Here is a 19,099-nt window from a genome sequence, read left to right as displayed (position 1 = left end):
TGTCAATTTTGGCTTTTGTTGCCATTGCTTTTGGTGTTTTAGACATGAAGTCCTTGCCCATGCCTATGTCCTGAATGGTATTGCCTAGGTTTCCTTCTAGGGTTTTTATGGTTTTAGGTCTAACATTGAAGTCTTTAATCCATCTTGAATTAATTTTTGTATAAGGTGTAAGGAAGGGATCCAGTTTCAGCTTTCACATATGGCAAGCCAGTTTTCCCAGCACCATTTATCAAATAGGGAATCCTTTCCCCATTGCTTGTTTTTCTCAGGTTTGTCAAAGATCAGATAGTTGTAGATGTGTGGTATTATTTCTGAGGGCTCTGTTCTGTTCCATTGGTCTATATCTCTGTTTTGGTACCAGTACCATGCTGTTTTGGTTACTATAGCCTTGTAGTATAGTTTGAAGTCAGGTAGCATGATGCCTCCAGCTTTGTTCTTTCGGCTTAGGATTGACTTGGCAATGCGGGCTCTTTTTTGGTTCCATATGAACTTTAAAGTAGTTTTTTTCCAATTCTGTGAAGGAAGTCATTGGTAGCTTGCCTAGCCAATAATTCTTTATATATTCTGGATATAAGTCTCTTATCAGATATATAATATGCAAATATTTTCTTTCATTACATTGATCGTCTTTTCACTTTCTTGATGGTATTCCTTGAAGCAAAAGTGTTTTAAATTTTAATGAGGTCCAAATTATCATTCTTCCCTTTTATCACCTGTGCTTTTGGTATCACATCAAAGAAATTATTACCTAACCCAAGATTATGAAGATGTATTCCTGTATGTTTGTCTAAGGTCTTTATCATTTTAGCTCTTACATTTAAGTCTGTGGCCCACTCTGAATTAATGTTTATGTATGGTATAAGGTAGGGGTCGAAATTTGTGCTTTTGCATGTAGATATTCAGTTGTCCCAACACCATTTGTTTAAAACACTCTTCTTTTTCCCCATTAAATTGTATTGGCCTTTACCTATAATATTTTGTAATGGTAAATTTGAAAGACCATAAAAAATGCTGCTTATGAGTGTGGTTTATTTTTAGGATAACCAAAAAATAGAAATTTATTTATATTATAGTATATATGTACACCTAAAATGTTTTCATAGAATACATATATACATATATGCATACTATGCAAACTAAGATGATAAAAGAGCCCTTGTTAGAAATGCTATTTCCAGTGGTTGGTGTGGATGGGAGAGCTATTAAGAAATTATCTGAAATACTAAAAGAAAATTTGCTATCAATGCCAGGAGGCCAGATTACAGAGAAAATGGAAGACCCACACATTGATGGAGGAAGACAAGACCCCCATCTTTGGTAAGAGTTTAACAGCTAGAATGGATAGATCAAGACCTATCAGTTAATAATTCAGCCTACATTCAACTGAGAGAATACAAACCTTAAGTATGCCAACACATACAGATCAGTCTCACTGATGATGCTCAAGTGTTTCATTCATTCACCTCTGAGCGTAGGAAAACTGTACAGGTTTGTAATATTAGCTATCAGAATTGGAATTTATTACTTCAAGAACCAGCTAAAACAGGCATAAGTTCCCTCCTTTACACAGCTTCCTTTTCTGGTGTTAATTTTCTGAACAAATAGAGCTGGAGAGAGGAATGAGTAATCTTTTAAAGACTTCTTTTGTCCTTGTTCTTTAAGTAGCCTTGGTACAAAACTCTCAGTTAAAAAGGAAAAAATTAAGAAGTTTAATTAGGGTTTTTGAAATCCAAATGCAAAATAATCCTTAGGAGTATTATCTCACCCTTGTCTGCATTAAAATTCATCTGCCACTTGTCAGCCCACTTAAACAACCTTTTAAGATCTTTCTGTCATCTCCATCTGCTTGGCACTTCTAGTTTTACAACTTCTGCAAACACGGAAACTTCACAATTTTGGGATCCCAGTAAAGTTTTTCATTAAGAGTAGTCCTACCAATAATGAGACGAACTGATTGAGTACTGGATTGGAAGTAGGGAGGGAGTATAAGTGACATTTGGGGGGACAGTTGGGAACGTTGTAATATGGCCTATTAACTATAATTTTATTTATCCTAAATATCTTGATTTTGATAATTATGTTGCACTTATGTAGGAAACTATCTTTGTTCTTAAATAAATGCTAAAGTACTTAAGAGTGAAATATGTCTGTAACTTACTTTAAAATGGTTCAGCAAAAATAGATTGAATACACACAAACAAATATCAAAAGTGCTGCGAATGTGTAAAATATTTCATTTGAAATTGACATTGTTTCACACCTAAAATAGTTGTATATCAACAATTGTATATGGTTCAACCTAATAGAGAAAGACTATATGAGTGAATCTAAATCTGGGTTTCTGAACTTCAGGACTATTGACATTGTTTTAATTCTTTGTTGTAGGGGGAGGCTGTTCTGTGAATTGTAGGATATTTGTTGGCACTCATGGCCTCTGCCGACCAGATGCAAGTAGCATCCTCAATTGTGACAACCAAAAATGTCTCCAGACATTGCTGAATGTCCCCTGGGAGGCAAAATCACCCCTAGTTGAGAACCACTGATATAGAGAAATATATAAGGACATATAAAGGAAGAGTACTTTTCTTTCAACTTTTCTGTAGAGTTAAAATTCTTCCAAAAATAAAGAGTTAGAAAATAATAATAAATGAAGTCATATATAATATGATTTACATATTAATAGTGAGAGAGGAGCAGGAAGAAACTGGTGCGGCAGGAAGTTAGGGTGGATCCTCAATTGAATTCTTTCAAACAAAAGAACAGCCTGCAGGCACAGATAGGGGAACTTGCACAGGGGGGCTTGCCTAAGACATGCCTGTAGCGTCACAGATAAGAAAGGCTACACAGGTGACTTACCCAGACATGCTTGCAATGTCTGGGTAAGTCAAAAAATTCCATCCCCTGACACATGCGCAGTAAGAAGAAGAAAGCAATATGAAGTAACTCAAGCCAAGGGCCAGCATGTACATTACGAGGACAAGGTGGAGCTACCAGAAATTTACACCTTATGCAAATGAGACACAGAGCCCTCATGGGTTTCTTATAAAAGCCTTTGCATTAAACTGTAAAAACAGCAACCCTCTTCTGCACCCCCACTCCATGGCAGAGAGTTTTCTTCTTTCACTTATTAAACTTTTGCTCCAACCTCACACTTTTTTGTTCACGCTTCTTAATTCTCTTGGTCATGAGACAAAGAATTCCAGATGATACCTTACAATGAGGGACTGCTACATTGTGGTGCATTGGCAGGACTATAACAGTAGTATTATAGTTGCTGTTAATTAATAATTTATAAAACTAGATCTGGCACCAAATTTTGATGAATTTTATGTTTTTTACACTTTTGAGACATCGAAGTCCTTGAAAAACTTAATTCATACACTCCTCCAGTACTTTCACTTGACTCTGCACCCCACAAGGAAACCCTTCACTGGGCTTCTATTCACCTGAATTATACAGAATACAACATAACAGAAAGGGAATGACTATTTATTGAATACTTGCCATAGAGCAGATGTCACTTGATGCCTGTCACTTATTAGAATTATTATAAAATGTGATTTCACTTGTATACATCTAAGGAAATAAACTTACAGAAACTGAGCAACCTGATCATGGTGACATGACTTATAAGAAGTCAAGAATTGGAACATGAGACTGGAACTCAGGACTCTCTAACTTCAAAGTCCATGTTATTTCATAATTTCAAGGAAAGATATTGACCTCTGGCCTGTCTCTGATTTAATAAAAATAAAAATGCCTGTTGTATCCAAACAGGTTAAATTGGATATTAGACATCCTCATTTTTCAAATTCTTACTTTAATTCTACTTTATGGTTTGGTCAATTCTTTTTTCCCCTCAGTGTCCCTTCATTTCTCTTCATTCTTTCTTACTACTACCATTCTTCTTGATTTTTTCATGGAAGCCTTCTCTCTCTCTCTCTCTCTTCTCACCCCCGCCCCCCACTTTTTCCCTCTTTGCCTTTTTCCTCTTTACATCATGTTCTCAAGGTAGTTATAATATTCTGAAACTTCCACCAAAAAACACAAACTAAAAAAAAAAAAAAAAAAATTCTCCTTAAGAGGAATGCTGGTGTTAGTTGCTAAGACTTTTTGACTTTATGAACATGTTTTCTTTCAATTCTTTTGTAACTTTAAAATGTTTCAAAATAAAAAGGAAAATAATTATGCCTTACACATAGTAAGCACTTATAAATGTTAGATGTCTCACTGTTGTTTTTGTTCTTAACTCAGAGTATCCAATTTTCCAACAGGAGTTTCTTCAAACATGAAGAAAAGCAAATGTAATACATATTTTGTAATTATACAATTAAGTGTTCAATTTGGCTTCTATTTGGTATGGTAATTTTTCTATTTTGGCATATAATTTGGAAATTGGTTTATCCTTTAGATTCTATTCCACAAAAAGTAAACTAGGATTTTAAAAATATTCGTCCATTGAAGATCCAAGATCATATTTCAGAAAATGTCTTTTTTCTCTTTCACTATTTTTGAATCACTCATGTCATTCAACCTGCCTCTTCTCCCTCCCCATTTCTTTCCACACACACTGTTACATATATTTACCAAGACATTAAAAATGGTGTGAGTTTTAGGAAAAGACGGCAAAGAGAAAACAAAACAGAAGCTGTTTCCTTACTTGCTTTGAACTTCAAGCAATATGAAGGCCCTTTGGAGAGGATATAAGACTTAGGAGAGAACTATCCAGGGCTCCAAAAGCAATGGCCAGGGGAAAAGATAGTTCTATCTTTGGATGGGAGAAACCCCTTCAATCCTGGACATCAAGTTTTTTTTTTAGAAGGTCTGAAATTTGTATAACATTTTCTCATGTTTGTATTTAAAACTGACCAGAATGATTAGAAGTTCCAAAGGGGCATTTCTTTCTAATGATATGTACACACAGATGCATTTATCAGACCAGAAAAGGCAGAAAAGTGTCTTAAAGAATAAGGTAGTATCACAGCTTAGGCAGGGTAGGAAAGCCGGGGTGGTGTAAGGAGAGAAGAAAGTGTGTGCCAAGAGAACTGGGCATGTGAGAGAGACAAGAAAATTGGAATAGAAGTGGGGAGCATGCAATGGAGTAAATATCCAAAAGCATGATGAAAAAACCTTACTTCACTTTTTTGTCTTTGGAAGGAGTGCTTTGTTAGATTTCTCTCATTTGGAAAGCTCTACCTTAAATCGACCTCAAATAGACAAAATGTTTTTACCTCATGTTACGGTATCCCAATGTGTTAGTGACTCCTCTTTGCAAATCACACTATTCCAGTCTACAGTGTCCTCCTGGACTCTGATGAATCAAAGCAATGATGAATAGTTGGAATTTCTGCCTGAATGAAGTTTTATACTTCATAGGTTTTCTGAACATCATCAAGAAAAAATATGAAGAAGAGGAAGAAAAAAGTAGCTGAATGCCAAGAACATCCCCAAAGTAAACAGCAATTCTCTTTAAATAGGGAGAAAACAGTATTTTACTGCTCAAAGCTCTAGGTAGCTTCCTTCTTTAGGGAAAGATATTTGAGCTGTAAAATATCTGCCCTGGCAACAAATTCATGAATCACAACAATTACCTGTTTCTTTTGGATATTGGATTTGCTAATTATCCACCAAAGTTTAGATTAGACAGCTGCTACCTGACTTCGTTTAGTATCTAATATGGAATGCTTTTGGCAGTGAATTGGTTTCTCTTTTCCCACCAGGAAAATGGAAAATGAATTGGAAGACTTTACTAAGAATTAGTAAAGTATTAAAAGCAACAACAACAACAAAAACCCTGTAGCTCTAGGTGTTTGAATCTAGGATTAACTGTTGAGGGTTTAATCGCTGGGTCAATGGAGAGTGCTGCTATAAGTGGACGATTAGTAGAAGGTAGATTAAAGATGGAAGAACTTATTAGTAAGAACTAGAAATGCTTGCAGATTAAAAGAATAGCTTGTATGTTTTAGCAAAATCTGCATTTAATTTTGGCATGTATCTGAAAGGAGACATCTGGAACTTGGATGATGGTGTTGAAATTACCAGTAGCATTAGTTTTAACCCTTAAATCAAAGGAAAAATGCATTGTATTCCAGAAATCTGGGTAAAACTGTAGATAAAAATATGACATGATCCACTTAATATGCCAGTGTAAAAGTGTATGCAAGTGTACTATAATTTTCTAATTTTAGTTTTGGGTTCTATTTTTACCCATTAATTAACACAATGAATACATGCTTTCATTTTCTATAAAATTTATTATTTGTGATGTATGGAAGTACCAAATATAAAAGCTAAGTTTTCTACTTGTCTTTTACTTAAGTAATTATCAGCTAGGAAAAGCCATCTAACTTGGAAATTTGAGTCAGCAAATGCCCAATAGGCTGTGTAAAAATTAGCTACTTAAATGTTTTGAAAATCCAGAAAATATTTAGCATAATTCAACTGGACAAATCACATAAAAAAAGTGAGACTGGGGGAGGGAGTTCACAAAACAACTGTGGGAGAATAATTACTCTAGGTGTGTGTCAGTTATGAAATTTCACTGATTAGTGGAAAAATGTTGATTTCCCCTAACCTTTAGCAGAAAAAAAAAGTCTTGTCCATGGATGCCCAAATAACCAGTTAATTTACTTCTTAGAAGTGAATTCTTGCATGAAAAAAAGAAACACACTCTTTGTTGCAAAAGCTCTGCCACCATAAGGATAATTGAACAAAAGCAAAGTAGAGGCTACAACAGTAATTGTGTTCCAGCAACTATATACAAACTGGCAAAACGACGAAAACACCAAATCAAGATTTTCTAAATGGCCCTTTCTTTCTCCTTCCCTCCCTGTCTTCTTAACTTCCTAACTTCTTTACTTCTTTCATTCCTTTCTTCTTGACTTAAGTACATTCATCCTTCTTCTATTTTTTGACATTTTAAAAGTTAATTTCATAGTTTATTTAAATCTCAGAAAACAATTTTCAACCAACTATAGAATTTGAATGCTTTAGCGTTTAAATACTCCCTCCTTATCATTTCATAATTGAAGAAACTGAGGGCCAGAGAGGGTCCCATTCCACAGCTTGTTGCAAAGCAATGCTGACTTACATTATAATTACTGCTGAGCAGTTTTATTTTATTTCTAAAAACTTTTTATTTATACATGTATACACTTTAAACTTTTATTTGATGTCTTCCAGCAAGTTTACACTTTTTCTAACAAAATCAACAATATAAGGATAATTTAAGTGAAGACATTATCTTTCCTCTCCACCCTACTCTATTCTCCATTCCACCTATGTCAGGTTTCCAACTGATTACAAATCCAATAGATTTGTATGGACTCCTTGCAAAACTTTCTTGTTATTTATAACCATCTACCTATCTATAGATAGATATCTATAATAGATAGATGATAGATAGATAGATAGATAGATAATAGATACACACACATACAGCATAAATAGACATCTACAGGGTATTTGTTTATATTTTCTGTTTACACTCCAGTATTGAATCATAATATATATACTTTACACTCTTTTCTCTGCTGTTTGCCTTTTTCACTTGACAGCTCTACAAATATATGTGTTTCATACATTCTAAAAATTTATGCATATACATAAATATGTGATTTTATATTAAGGGGTAAAATCATACATATTGGGGAGTTGTCAAAGCAGTATTTTTTTGTTCAATACTTCTCTCTTTCATTTTTTCTTTTTTGTTGTTTGCCTCTCACTACCCACTCCTGCTCTACTCTGAGGTCATCTATTTTAATATAACCACAGACATATATACATCTATTTTGTGGATTTCTACTTCTTATATCACACACACACACACACACACACACACTTAATTTGCCAGAAAATCAGTTCTCTTGATTCCCCACTGTTAAAGTATAATTCTCGAAAAATTAACAGCAGGGCTCTCATACAAATTTAGAATGAGCACAAATCAAAGATTTATTTAATTCATTAATGAGGGAACCAGCAAGATAGTAAAGCTGCATCAAACACAGAATTGAAGAAATAAAGATTTATACAGTCAGTTAGGAAAGGGATGTTAAAATTAACTTGCCAAGTTGGACATACCAGTTAGTATCCTGCCAGGCAATACATCCATAACCTTTGGGATCTTCTCTACCTGGCAGAAATCATTTGCTTCTAATGGACCAAAAGCTACAAGTTAACAATTAACTTCGCAGTTTCTGTGTTCTAATCAATAGTAAATAGTAAGTAAAACAAACATACTTCATCTTGCCTGGGCCTATTAGGCAACGCTCCAGTGATATTGAAAGGACATGCAATCATGTTTTTGTCTTGTTTCCTGGTTTTTAATAATTTTTCTTCAATCCAGGCTAATATCAGTAGACTATCAAACTGTGCCAAGCTCAAGTCACACTCTAAATAAATTTAGAGCCTCATCAGAATGACCACTTTATGTTCTTTTTCCTCCTTAGTTATGATGACACCCTAGACTTGTCTTTTGGGCCATTTAATTATGTATAAGCTAAACTATTGCTGGTTTCCTTTAAGACCATGGGCTCTTCTGTCATCCTTAGTGGACATGAAAAGTAATTGCTCTAAATCTTTCATATAAAAAGCCTTCATATAACTGATGAATTTATTATTACTGCAAATAAATTTAATAGTTGTAATAATCTAAAAACATGAGTGTTAATTAGCACTTCTCACTAACCAGCATAAAAGAACTTTGTAATATGAGGTTTACATTTCAAAGTTGTACTATCTTACTTCATTTTTGTAGCAAGAAATGAATATTCAGACTCTATTAACATATAAACCTAGTGGTTATGTTCATTGTCTTTCTTTGTTGCACTAGAAGGATAAAATCAACTATTTCTTCTTACTTCACTGTTTGTAAGGTAATTTGTAGGTTGAGTGGTAGTTTTTAGATTGATAATAATTTGGCCTTTGTGTTCAATGTACATTAACAGTCTATTGTGAAAAATTAGAAGAGATGCCAGTTTAAGGTAAGAGAGGTAGGGAAGAAGGACCTCAGACTGGAAAGGAATTAAAAACCATAGTTCCCTTTACCCCTGTCTGTGGCTACTCTCAGAGGAAATGGGCAGCCCCCAGAGCAAAGAATAGTATAGTTTGCCTAGAAAGGTAAGACCCATGCACTAAATTGCCCAGCTTTGGGAAAGTTTCTCTTACCTGTAAAACAGCAGATGCAGAAGACCCCCCACCAGCTTCAAGTGACTGCTAGCTATTTGAACAATATCTGTGGCTACTATAATAGACTAGAAATCAGAGACACTTTTCTTAGGTTCTAGGTATGTTATAAGCCCTCTGAATTCTGATGATACTCTTGAAGACAGAGGGAAAAAGGTAGAAAGAGATAGCAAGAGGAAAGACAAGGAAATGAAGAGGGTTCAAATAATAACTGAGATAGAATGTCTTATCTACCTGACAGGATCAGGTATCAAATTAATCAATTAGGCTGTGTTAAATTAAGAAACTGATATTTTTCAGTAGCATTTCTATACATCAATAATGTCCAAGCTGAGAGCAAAAGCAAGAATGCAGTCCCACTTACAAAAGCCAACAAGAAAATAAAATACCTAGGAATACATTTAACCAAGGAGGTGATAGATCTCTACAAGGAGAGCTAAAAACACTGCTGAAAGAAATCATAGATGACACAAACTAATGAAAAAATGTTCCTTGCTCATGGATTGGAATAATCAATATTTTTTAAATGGTCATACTGCTCAAAGCAAGCTACAGATTCAACTCAATTACTACCAAAATATTGTCATTTTTAACAGAACTTGAAAAAACTATTCTAAAATTCACATGGAACCAAAAAAGGAGCTTGAATACCCAAAACAATCTTAAGCAAAAAGAAAAAAGTCAAAGGCATTGCATTACCCAAATTCAAACTGTACCATACGGCTACTGTAACCAAAACAACATGGTACTTGTACAAAAAAACAGTTACAGAGACCAATGGAACAGAATAGAAAACCCAGAAGAAGAAAAAAGCCACACACCTGTAGCCATCTAATCTTTGACAAAGTAGATAAAAATAAGCAATAGGGAAAGGACTTCCTATTCAGTAAGTGATGAGCTACCTGGCTAGCCATGTGCAGAAGAATAAAACTGGACCCCTACCTTTCTCTGTATGGAAAAATTAACTCAAGATGGATTAAAGATCTAAATGTAAGACCTCAAGCTATGAGAATCCTAAAAGAAAACCTAGGAAACATCATTTGGGACATCAGCCTTGGGAAGGAATTTATGACTATGTCCTCAACAGCAATTGCAAAAAAACAAAAATTGACAAGTAGGACCTAATTAAACTAAAGAGTTTCCACACAGCAAAAGAAACTATCAACAAAGTAAGCAGACACCCTACAGAGTGGGAAAAAATATTCACACACTTTGCATCCAACGAAGGGCTAATATCCGGAATCTATAAAGACATTAAACAACACAAAAATCAAAAAACAAATAACCCCATTAAAAAATGAGCAAAGGACATGAACAGGCACTTCTCAAAAGAAGACATACAGATGGCCAACAAGCATGCAAAAATACTCAACATCACTAATTATCAGGGAAATATAAATTATAACCACAATAAGATACCATCTCACACCAGTCAGAATGGCTATTAATAAAAAGTCAAAAAACAACAGATGCTGGCAAGGCTGCAGAGCAAAGGAAATGCTTATACACTGTTGGTAGGGATGTAAATTAGTTCATCCACTGTGGAAAGCACTTTGGAGATTTCTCAAAGAACTTAAAACAGAACTATCATTAGATCCTGCAATTTCACTGCTACATGTATAGCCACAAAAATAATAAATCATTCTACCAAAAAGACACATGTGTTTGTATGCTCATTGCAGCACTATTCACAATAGCAAAGATATGGAATCAAGCTAGGTGCCCATCAATGGTGGATTGCATAAAGAAAATGTGGTACATATACACCATGGAGTATATGCAGCCATAAAAAGAATAAAATCATGTCATTTGCAGTAACATGGATGGAACTGTAGGCCATTATCCTAAGAAAATTAACACAGGAAGAGAATACTGCATGTTCTCACTTATAAGGGAGAGCTAAACATTGGGTACTCATGAACATAAAGATGGGAACAGTAGACACTGGGGACAACAAGACAGGGGAAGAAGGAAGGGAGGTAAGGGTTGAAAAATGAACTGTTGGATATTATGGTCAGTGCCTGAATGATGGGATCATTTGTACCCCAAACCTCAGCATTGTGCAATATAACCATGTAACAAACCTGCACATGTACCCCCTGAATCTAAAATGAAAGTTTGAATTATTTTTCTTTAAAAGAATAAAATGCAAAAATAAAGGAAAGCGATGTTTTTTTTGCACACCTGAGTTTATGTACTGTGATTTAGATCTGCCCCTTTTTATCCAGGTGAGGATGCTGGATCCCAATATTGAACCCCCATAGTCATCTAAAACCAATCAGTGCCAACCTCAGCATTTGATTGTTTGGTCCCAAATTCTTTCTTTAAGAAATCTTTCTGTAGTGAGATAAATGAGTCTTACTTCTCTAAGACCTATTACAGAGAGTAGGGAGGAGTGTTGAAGGAAGCAGCAGGATCGAGTGAAATAGCACCAGATTAGAAGTCAGGAGACTAGAACATTTATACTGTCACGAATGCTACATGTAAATTTGGAAAAATGACAACCTGCTTATTTTCGTCCACAAAATATCTTTTCTGCTTTTAGAGTTATATGTTTCTCTGTCCCTCACGCTAATAACTGGACTGTCTCTAATTATTGAGCATAGATCCTCAGGCTTTCCTCAAGATACTGGATCTGACCACCAGTTGGAGAACACCCCACCACCACCAACATCACCACAGCAACTTTTGTACTACCCCCAGAGGAGTCTCAGAGTTTTAAATTGCTCACCAGAATTGGGGAAGAGTGGTTAGACAGGCTTTCCTAGAACTGTAATAAAGTCCCTACTCTTTCATAGTCCCCAAATGCTCCAATATTAGAAGAGGATAATTCTGCTTACATTTCTTAAAGCCTCTTTACTTATAATTGTAAGAGACTCAAGTTGTTTGAGAAAGCTTCTGCTAGCTGGAACAGAAAGAAAGGTCAGAATAATATACATGAAAATCATAAAAATATAATCATTAAAAATTGTGGAGGACTCATCAAATGCCACCAATGTATTGAGAGCTTATAAGCATTATTTTATCTAATTTTCAAAGAAACTCTATAAAGCACATTCTTTTACCAACCCTACTTTACAAAAGAGAAAGCTAAAAGGAGGTGAGGGTGAAAACCTGTATTCATGGCTCATAACTGGCAACTGTAAGAGGCAGGCCTCAAACAGTTTTATTTTAGGCCATTTTCTGTTAAAGTACGTAGCCCAATGGGGTAAGTATAGGTGGACTTAAATAGAAGTGAATGTAAAGGAGGTTCTGGAAAACACAGAATAGCTCATTCAATAGTTGGCAACATAAATTACAAGTGATAGGATAAAAACTATAAATATTTATAGAACTCTCATCCTTCTAAGAAGAATAGATGCTTAAGAAGGCCTATTATTTGTTCAGATCTACATCATCCTCCATAAAATGATCATTCCCAATAGTAAAGATAGTGTTTAGTGATGTATATAAGAAACGTACAGTCAGACACACTGAAACAACATTGTTCTGTTTAAAGGCAACATTGAGGGAGAAAGAGCTCAATTACTCGAGTGCAAAAAAGAAAACTTAGCTGAACAGAAATGCCTGCTAGGTAATATTATTAAATTTCTGGGTAATGTGATGTGGATCTTTGTCTCTGCCTATCTATGAAACATGCAAAATTAATTTTATTGGCCAATACATTTGTAGTTGGGATTTATTTTGATATGTGACAACAAATAACTGAGTTTTCCTCAAAGGGGAAGGGAGTGAGATCAAAGATGAGCCAAAGATGTCCCTCATTACATGCAGATTATAACATAATAGAACAAATTAAGATAAGAGATCAAAGACATCTTAACACCATAAGCAGACTGACTTAATGAGACAGAAGTGTCAAATACTTCTACAGAAAGAACTATTAAAGTTCACAAATCATTTAAATAAATGGAGACATATACCATGTTCATGGATAAAATGATTTAACATAGAAAACATTTCAATTCTCCTAAAATAAATCTATCTAAAATCATCCCTACAGGATATTTTAAATAGAAATTCTGTTGTTTTAAAGAATTTAACAAATTCTATATTTTAAAATATGAATTAATTTTTATAGTCAATTCAACATTTAAAAAAAGAAAAAAGTGTCTTAGTCCATCTTGTGCTACTATAACAGAATACCATAGACTTGGTAATTTATAAACAATAGAAATTTATTTCTCATGAATCTGGAGGCTGGAAAGTCCAATATCACAGGAGGTGCTGGCATCTGGTGAGGGCCGTCTTGCTGCATCATCCCATAGTGGAAGGCAAAAGGGCAAGAGAGGGAAAAGGGGGAGAGAGAGTACACAGGAGATTGAACTCACAGCCTCAAGCCCTTTTATAATCAACATTAATTCATTTATGAGGGTGGAGCCCTCATAAATGAGCCCTCTGCAACAGTATTGAGAGGTGGGGTATAGTGGGAGGTATTTAAGTTTCCAATATACTTTTTGGGGGACATATTTAAACCATAGCATAAGGTTTGGAAATTTTCCCTGCCAGATACTAAAACAAGTGTGTCTAAAATTTACAGTGACAAAAACAAGGTGATAATTTACAGCAACACAAAAATACAACAATGAAAACAAATATAGAACATAGACACAGGACTATATGGGAATTTGAAACATGGTTAAAATGACAACATCAAATTGTGAGGAAAGCCAAGTTGTAGATGGCACTGGAAAAAAAAAATCTCACTATATAGAGAAAAATAAAGCTAGGCTTCTATCCTGGCCTCGCATACAAGAAGAACTTCAAATGAGTTAAAGATCTAAATGAAAAGGTGAAAAAGCCAACAGAATAAAGTGTAGAAAAATACCTCCATGATGTATTAATTTTCTATTGGTGCTATTAAAATGCACAACAAACCTAGTGGCTTAAACAATACAAATTTATTTTCTTATAGTTATATGTAGTAGAAGTTAATCACAGGTCTTACCTGGCTAAGATCAACATTTTGGAAGACTGTATTTCTTTCTAAGTGCTTTACAGAAGAATGTGTTTCCATGTCTTTTCCAACTTCTAGGCACCACTCACCTTCCTTGGTTTGTGACCTCTTCCCTCCATCTTCAAAGCTGGCAATGTAGCATCTTTCTGCCTTTGCTTCTGTTTTCTCATCTAGATTACAGAGTCAAGATAAATATTCACAAGTCAGTTGTATTTTTATATGGTAGCCATGAACCTTTTGGAAATAAAATTAAGAAAGCATTCAATTAATATTAGCATCAAAAAGAATAAAATCCTTAGAAATAAATCTAACAAAATATGTCTTGGACCTGTAAACTATAAAACATCATTTAAAAAAATGTAAGAAGACATAAGCCAGGCATGGTGGTATGTACCTATAGCCACAGCTACTTAGGAGGCTGAGGCAGGAGCATTGCAAGTTTAGCAAGTTTTAATAAAAATTTAAAACACCCAGAAATTAAAGATGAAACATAAATAGAAAGATGTACCATATCCCAAGTTTGTGGTTGAAAATGTAATATTGCTAAGGTGGTAATGTTCTTCAAATAACTAAAATAATCTAGAAAAAAAGAAAAAATTAGAGAAGTCACACTTCCTAAATCCAGAACTTACTCTAAAGCTACAGTAATCAATTGTGTGATACTGGCATAAGAATAGATATATAGTTAAATGGTAGAGAACTGAAAATCCAAAAGTAAACCCTCATACTTATGGTCAACTGATTTTCAACAAAAGCACCAAGACTACTCAATGGGAAAAAAAAAATAGTCTTTTCAAATAATGGGACTGAGACTATGGGATATCTACATGCAAAAGAGTTAAATTGGATTCTTACCTCCCACCATACCCAAAAATTAACTCCACATAGATTACAAACCTAAAAGTAAGATCTAAAACTATAAGACTCTTAAAGATACATAGGGTTAAATCTTTGTAACATTGAATTGGTCAATGGTCTTTTAGATATAATACCAAAAGTTTTGAAATTATACCAATTTTCTAAAATTTCTTTCAGGAAAGAAGGAGAGGAAATATTAGTAGTTCCTAACTCATTCTATGAAGCCAGAATTACTCTAATACCAAAACCAAGACAGTACAGGAAAATAAGACTATAAAACAATATCTGTTATGAACATAGATACAAAAGTCTTCAACAAAACATTGGCAAATCAAATCCAACAATATATAAAACAAATTAAACACCACAACAAAGTTGTATTTATCCCAGGTATGCAAAATTTGTTTGACATTCAAAAATTAACGTAATCCATCATATCAACAGGCTAAGAAAAGAACTCACATGATCTTATCAATAGATGCAGAAAAATCATTTGACAAAATCCAACACCCATTTATAATTAAAATTCTCAATAATTTAGAGATTAGAGGAAATGCCTCAACTTTAAAAAATCTACAGAAACCTGCAACTAACATCATACTTAATGGTAAGAAATTTTCCCACTAAGATCAGAAGTAAGGCAAGGATGTCCCTGGTTACTTTATTTCAACATTTTACTGCAGTTCCTAACTAATGCAGCAAGACAAGAAAAAAAATAGAAGGCAGACAGATGGGGAAGGAAGAAATAAAACTTTGTTCACAGGTGACTTGATTACTATGTCGAAAATTTGAAAGAATCGACCCCCCCCCTCACCCCACCAAAAAAAAACCCTGCTGGAACTAATAAGCAATTATAGCAAGATTGCAAGATACATGAAAAAATACAAAAGTCCACTGCTTTCCTAAATACCAGCAATGAACAAGTAAATTTGAAATTAAAAGCACACTACTGTTTATGTTAGCACTTCCAAAAATGTAATATTTAGATATAAATTTAACAAAATATCTACAATATCGATGTAGGGAAAACTGCAAAATTCTGATTAATGGAACTGAAGAACTAAGTAAATGGAGAGATGTTCTATGTTCATGGATAAGAAGATTCAATATTGTCAAGATGTCAGTTCTTCCCAACTTGATCTATAGATTCAATACAATCCTGATCAAAATCCCAGAAAGGTATTTTGTAGATATCAACAAACTGATTCTAAAGCTTATATGGAGAATCAGAGAACTCAGAATAGCCAACACAATGCTAGAGAAGTACAAAGTCAGAGAATCAACACTACCTGAGTTCAAGACTTACTCTAAATCTGCAGTAGTTAAGACAGTGTGGTATTAGTAAAGGAACAGACAAATAAATCAATGGAACAGAATAGAGAGTACAGAAAGAGGCCCACATAAATAAGGCCAACTGATCTTTGACAAAGGAGAAAAGGCAATGAAATGGAAAAAAAAAAAAGTGATCTTTTCAACAAGTGATGCTGGAACAACTGGACATCCACATGCGAAGAAATGGATCTAGACAGACCTTACACCCTTCACAAAAATGAACTCAAAATGAATCATGGACTTAAATGTAAAATTCAAAGCTATAAAACTCCTAGAAAGAAACATAGGAGAAAACCTAGATGCCCTTGTGTATGGTAATGACTTTTTAGAAACAACACCAAAAGGCATAATCTATAAAAGAATTAATTGACAAGGTGGACTTCATGGAAATTAAATTTTCTGCTCTATGAAAGAAAATGTCTAGAGAACAAGACAAACCACACAATGGGAGAAAATATTTGCAAAAGATACTTCTGACAAAGGACTGTTAACCAAAATATATGAGGAACTCTTAAAACTCAACAAGAAGAAAACAAACAAACCACTTGAAAAATGGGACAAATGCCTTAACAGATACCTTAAGGGTACAGAGTTTCTTTTTGGAGTTCTCAAGTTAGATAATGTTAATAGTCGCACAACTTTATAAATATACTTAAAAATGTTGAATTGTACACTTTAAAAATGTAAATTTATGGTATGTGAATTACACTTCAGTAAAGCCACAATTTTAAAAGATCCATTAGACAAAAAGTTATGGAACCTGGTTTCTAACTAATTAAGTGCTATCATATTTTTATAACATGACTTCAGACAAGTTTTTACACTTTCTGGCCTTGGTCTCCTCACCTGTACAATAAAAAGCCCTTTCATTTCAGAAATTTATGGTTCTATACCTCTAGCACTTTCTTCATGAAACAGTCCTTTGCTGATCTGAAAGTGACCACTCCCTGCTTTGAACTCTAACGCCATTAACTGGCTTATATGACTATTACTTGTGCTTCACCTTATCTCCTCTCCTAGAAATGTGAGCCAGTTGAGGAAAGACATGAAACTGTCTTGTACATGATGGGGATTCAGTGAGTTTTTACATGACTAGATACATGAATTTATATTTAGTACACATTGTATGGAATTAAGCAGAGAAATCAACAATTTTTAAAAATTTTCATTCCACCAATATAAATTTCCCTAAATTTGACAAGATTTTATGTTAATTTTTGACATAATAAAATTGTAAACTTTGTAGAGTTTGAACCACCATATTAACTCTCGTTATACAGATGAGCTTCTCTGCTATTCCAAAATAAATTGTGTATTATACCATGGCAGCTTCACTGATGTTGCTACTAAACATGATGAAAATAATCCAAAATGAAAAGAAATAAAATATTCGAACCAGTGTTACTTAATTGTAAATAATCAAGGTTTTAGTATTCTAGTAGGTGTCCTGAACTACATTGCTTTTAAGCAATAAAATCTTCCAAAAAGAGAACTCAGTAAAGTACACTATTATTAAATCTGCATTGAGAGTTTAGGCTACTGTTTTCCTGCAATTATTGAGTTTGCAAATTCTTAAAAAATAGAAAATTATACAGGCCTTGTTGCCATATATATAACTTTCCATAGTGTGTGTTTGACAAGCTGAAATTTTTAGACAAAGAAGAACGTTGTGTATAAATGTAATCAACTGCTTTCTCTTTTTTTCTTTAAATATAAAAGATAATTGTCTGAAAACTAATCTTCAATTTTGAGTTCCTTCCTCCACTGATGAACTAAGTAATTTAACCAAAAACATTTATCTCTCATTAATAACAATACAAAGGGAAAAATTATGAAAAATTAGTCCTAACTTGCTATTATTCAACTATAACCTCATAATCCTACTACATTCCCGTTTATTGTGCATAATTACCAGTTCAGAACAAATGAATCCATTCCTAATTGTACAGTTTAGAAAAATTATTTGTAATTGATAACAAATTAAGGCAGCATCAAAATACTTAAGAACCTATGCAAAATTAAATTCTGGGTAGATAACTGGTAACATCTGAGAACATTTTTTATTCTACACTACATTTTGCACAGAATGTACTTGAAAATCATGTTTTACGTTATTAGAGATGCATTCAGTTACGTACCTACACGTCTCAAGTGTATTGAGGTAAAGTTTCTATATAGAATTATTATTCTTCATTTTGGACATGATGCCTTCTATATTGTTATTATAATTTTCAATTTAATGAATATTAACTATTCTGCTGGTGTAGATAATAATAACACACACACAAAAATAAGATTTATTGAGTGCTTACTATAGCACTAAGCACAATACTAAATTCTTTATAGTCTTATCTTAATCAACCTTAAGAGCAATTCAATGAAGTGGTAGTTTACTCCTTTACATGAGAATTTTGGCCAGGCATTGTGGCTCATGCCTGTAATCCCAGCACTTTGAGAGGCCGAGGTTAGCAGATCACTTGAGGCTAAGAGTTCGAGACCAGCCTGGCCAACATGGCAAAACCCCGTCTCTACTAAAAATACAAAAATTAGCCAGGCATGGTGGTGTGCACCTGTAATCCCAGCTACTTGGGAGGCTGAGGCACAAGAATAACTTGAACCCGGGAGGCGGAGGTTGCAGTGAGCCAAGATTGCACCACTGCACTCCAGCCTGGGCAACAGAGGAAGACTCTGTTTCAAAAAAAAAAAAAAAGAGAGAGAAAAATTAAGAATTAATGACATGAAGTAATTTGCCTAAAATCACACAGTTAA

At 34.1% G+C, this 19,099-nt stretch overlaps 1 long non-coding RNA gene across 13 annotated transcripts in view; it reads right to left on the bottom strand.

Annotated features, from left to right (window-relative positions):
* LINC02955 (long intergenic non-protein coding RNA 2955) overlaps positions 1–19,099 on the bottom strand; it is a 491,729-nt gene that overhangs the window by 289,314 nt on the left and 183,316 nt on the right. For 11 of the 13 annotated variants that reach the window (NR_187514.1, NR_187512.1, NR_187515.1 and 8 more), the window contains one exon: positions 14,230–14,310. This is a non-coding gene — a long non-coding RNA (long intergenic non-protein coding RNA 2955). Of the gene's footprint in view, positions 1–14,131; positions 14,311–19,099 lie in introns of all 13 variants that reach the window. The other 2 variants (NR_187511.1, NR_187513.1) reach the window with 1 other exon arrangement.

This window comes from Homo sapiens, chromosome 12 (assembly GCF_000001405.40).
Source record: "Homo sapiens chromosome 12, GRCh38.p14 Primary Assembly".
Classification (NCBI taxonomy): domain Eukaryota; kingdom Metazoa; phylum Chordata; class Mammalia; order Primates; family Hominidae; genus Homo; species Homo sapiens.
Note: the sequence above shows the minus strand (reverse complement) of the source record. Positions and strands in the feature narration are given on the sequence as shown.